The following is a 4,223-nucleotide window of genomic DNA, read 5'->3' as shown; positions in this document are numbered from 1 at the left end:
GATGTTATTATTTCTAAAATATCATAATAAAACATTTTCTCAGATTCTCATAGATAGGCTGTTACTTATGTTTGGCAAAGAATATTACTACAAGTTTATTGTACCTATATAAAAAAGTAGTTTCTTGAAATATTATCTATAGATTTAGCTGATGAAAAACATCTTATTTTCATTAGAGTGCTGTCTAAAAATCTGTGTTTTTTCAAGAATAAATAATTCAGGTACCCAAAAGACTATCATTAGCAATTAGTTGTATTGGAGAAATGTGACTATATATCTTAAAATCTATTGTAATATATAGAAGAATATTTCTATTTTATTTTATTAGTCTTAAATAATCATGAAAGAATCAATATTGCTCTCATATCCAATATATGTCATTTTCTTAAGTAGTTAATAAAATATACTTTTGCTAATCTTTATTGAGTAATTCCAATATCCCAGATGTCATGTCAAATGATGTATATACCTTAACACATTTAATCCTCCTAACAGCTCTATATATACTTCAAATTATTAAACCCACTTTACTGATATAATTAATCTAAGGTAACACATCTAGAAAATAATGAATCCAGATTTAAATTCAGAGGGCCTAGCTTCAGATCTGTCATTCTAAATTGCTGTGTGCTATAGGGTTGTGTTTCCTTTCAATTTAAATGTTTGCGCATTCGTCAATGCCACTGGTGATAATATAGAGTAAGTTCCAAATCTTGTCTGATTCCAACATTTTATTGCAAGGCCTTTGAGAAAGAAATTGTGTTGCATCCATGCTTCATGATGTTTAGTCAAGGATTTGACAGATAATTTCTCTTGTTAAATATTGTTTTCTTTAATTTTTAGTAGCCATATAAAAGAAAAGACAGCTTAGATAATATGGATAAAAGTAGAAATATTTATTGACAAAAATGTATCATGAAACAAACTTTTACAAGTATTTCTATTTGTCTACTTTCCTACTATCAACAAAAATTATAAGAGGACAATAATGTTTTAGGATATTTGAATTTAATAATGATTAGAAGCAGATTTTTTGTGTGTGTATGTGTGTGTGTTGGCAAAGGTAAGGGGTAGATGAGAGGAATGTGGTGTTTGATGTAACATAATTTATTTATAAATATGAAATGAGAGTAATAAAAATTAATAGTAACAATGGGAAGCCAGAAGGGCAGTCATTAATGATGTTAACCAAGTCAATCACTAGGCTGGAGAAATAAGCAGAGCTGTGGTTCATAGTAAGTGTGGCTGGCTCCATTTAACTAACTGCATAACATCTATTTTCTTATTCTTTCTCACTAATAGAAACCCAATTCTGTTTGAGGCTCAATTATACTCAGTTAGAAACATGGCATGTAGGCACAACAAAATTGAGGTTCTGTTAGATAAGAGAAAATATAGATTATTGATTGAATAGTTGATAATTTCTGCCATTGTAAGTTTTAACTAGAATTAAAACAAAAGAGCATAAAACACAGTAATTTAATTTTGCATCACTAAGGTACTGAAGCACCATGAAAAGAACTTCAAATCTGTGTCTATGATCTCAGGCAAATGGCATTTTTGTGGTGGGAAAAAAGGAGAAACAGATGTAAAGTAACTGAGGCTATGTAATAATCTTGAGTGACTGAATTTGAAGAAAACATATAGGTACAAGGATGTACTTGAACTCATAATGGCTTTGACTTGAAAAAAAAAACACAGACACCTTAACTCTGTCCAACAAAATAGTCTAGAAACAAGGACTAGCCAATAATAATAAGTATCCATGGTGTCTAGATTGTGGTGTTTAAATTTCATTTTCTACAAAACAAAAACAACAGAAGTCGAAGATACTAGAAGAAATATCTGATTCTAAATCTGGGGCAGAAAATATACAAGATAATTCTGGAATGATTTGTCTTACAAGAAATCAGGCTATCACAGACTCCTGAGGATGTTTTCAAAGGATTCAGCAGCTAGCTAGAGAGACTTCTATTGGCCAAAGGAGGGACAGATGCACAACTTAAAAATGGAATAGGCAGAGGAGAGAGGAATTTGAGGGCAGTGAAAATATGCTGTATGGTACTATGTTGATGAATACAAATCATTACAACACCAAGAGTGAATGCTAATGCAAACTGTGAATTTTAGGTGACAGGTATGTGTCAATATAGGTTCATCGATTGTAATGAATCACCACTTGGTTGGGGCTGTGGGTAATGGGAGAGGCTGGGCATGTGTGGGAGTAGGGGGTGCATGGGAAATCTCTGTACCTTCCTCTCTATTTTGCACTGGGTCTAAAATGTCTCTTAAAAAAGAAGCCCAAAACACTGTAACAACTTTTACACTAAATGAAACAAGTTGCTAAAATACTAAATAAAAGCCAATATAAAAACTAAAAAACCTCTTGGTGATTTTCAAGATATTCTAAGTCACAGATTGGAAACGATGACCTGTGAGTCTAATCCGTCTAGCTTTCTGATTCTGTAAAAAAAAAGCTTTACTGAAACACAATACACCAACTTGTTTACATTATTTTCTATGGTTGCATTCTGGTTATATCAGTAGAGTTGAGTAGCTGTGACAGAGGCTGTATGGCTTACAAAGCCTAAAAGATTTACAATTGGCTCTTAGCAAGTAATAGGATTCAGGACATACTACCTCAAAATATAGTATCTTGGTATTTGAGAAAACAGCAGAAGTAAAAGATCACCTTTCCCTGCCCTTGTCATCTGAGTTATATCTTCAGACCATGTGAGAAGTGCCCACCTTATACCCAAACGTAAGGAATATCCTTATCTCTGAAGACCCAGGGATACAGAAGGATAGGAACAAAAAAGCCCTGTTAAGTTCTCAGAGTTTTTAATCATTAGATTATACCCCTTTTGTCCAATCATACATCTCTGCATCTACCCACTTCTTCATAAAACTTAGTATAGAAACACACAGGTTTAGCTGTTTGTTCGGGTCTTCATTTCCTTATGAAGACATCTGTCTCACATAAAACTTCTGTTAAATACTTTCCATGCTTTTCTCTAGTTAATCTCTTGTGTTATAAAGGCCTCGGCCATGAACATAAGATGGGAATAAAATAAATTTCTTTTTCCCTACACAAAAAAAGCTTTCTGATCTCTTTTCTAAGTAGTCAACTCATTATTTTGAAAAATAATTAATAAGAATGTAGCATTTTTTTTCTGTCTCTCCTTTATGAATAATACCTCAAATTTTCCAAATGTCAGGAAGAGGATATTTTCTTTATAGATGTATTCTAGCTTATACATAAAAATATAATAAGAAAATTAGAATATCACAGTTTTTCTACTTCTGATGAAAGAATGCATCTAATGATGTAATTGATCAGCAAGGCTAACACCATAGAAAAAGTCCCCCAGACATCATATGCCTTCTCACAGAACTTAAAAAACGGCCTACAATGTAGTCTTGCAAAATATCAGTCCTAGATCTGACGAATACTGCAGATCTAATTTACAAGAAAAATCTGTAACAGAAGTAACATACGAAACCATGCCAAGTTGATTTAATCAATAATTTCAGTCCGTGGGAAACTGAAGGAAAAACCACTAGTTTTTAAAACAACTAAGATGAAAAAAAGAAAAGAGAGTGAGAGTGAAGGAATACTAAAGACCTGTTAAATTGTTAGGTGAAAACTTGCAACTATGGCTATGTCAAAAAATAGAAAGTGAGAATTTGCATTTTAAAGATACATGCTCAGGTATGTGGATGAAATAAAACATCTGGAATTTGTTTCCAAATTACTTAGGGGAGGGGGAAAGAAAAGAGGGCCACAGATAGAGCAATATTGTTACTTGTTGATGTGAGATGATTACATCATAGTTCTTTATACTATTTTCTTTATGTTTGAAATTTTCCACAACTAAATGTTAAAAAAAAGGAGACAGTGGGAATAAATTAAGTCAAGCCAGAAACCCTATTAAAAAGGGCTTATTGAAGAATTGTTGGTTAAGATTTTGTTCTTGCACACTGTCTGTATAGAACATAGAATTTTGCTTTGGAGCAAAGGTTAAATCAGTAACAAATGGAAAACTGGCCAACTTGCCTGTGAGAAAGTGAGAAAACTTATTTACAAATGTAACACAGCCAAGCTGTATTCAGTATCTGCTCCAAATAGCTGTCATTACCAGCCCCATCTGTTTAATTTTTAAATCCAATATTGTTTACATTAGAATAAGGCAGAATTTCTATTCTAAAAAGTGGTTTTTAAG

The sequence above is a fragment of the Homo sapiens genome, chromosome 4 (assembly GCF_000001405.40).
Source record: "Homo sapiens chromosome 4, GRCh38.p14 Primary Assembly".
Lineage (NCBI taxonomy): Eukaryota > Metazoa > Chordata > Mammalia > Primates > Hominidae > Homo > Homo sapiens.
Note: the sequence above shows the minus strand (reverse complement) of the source record.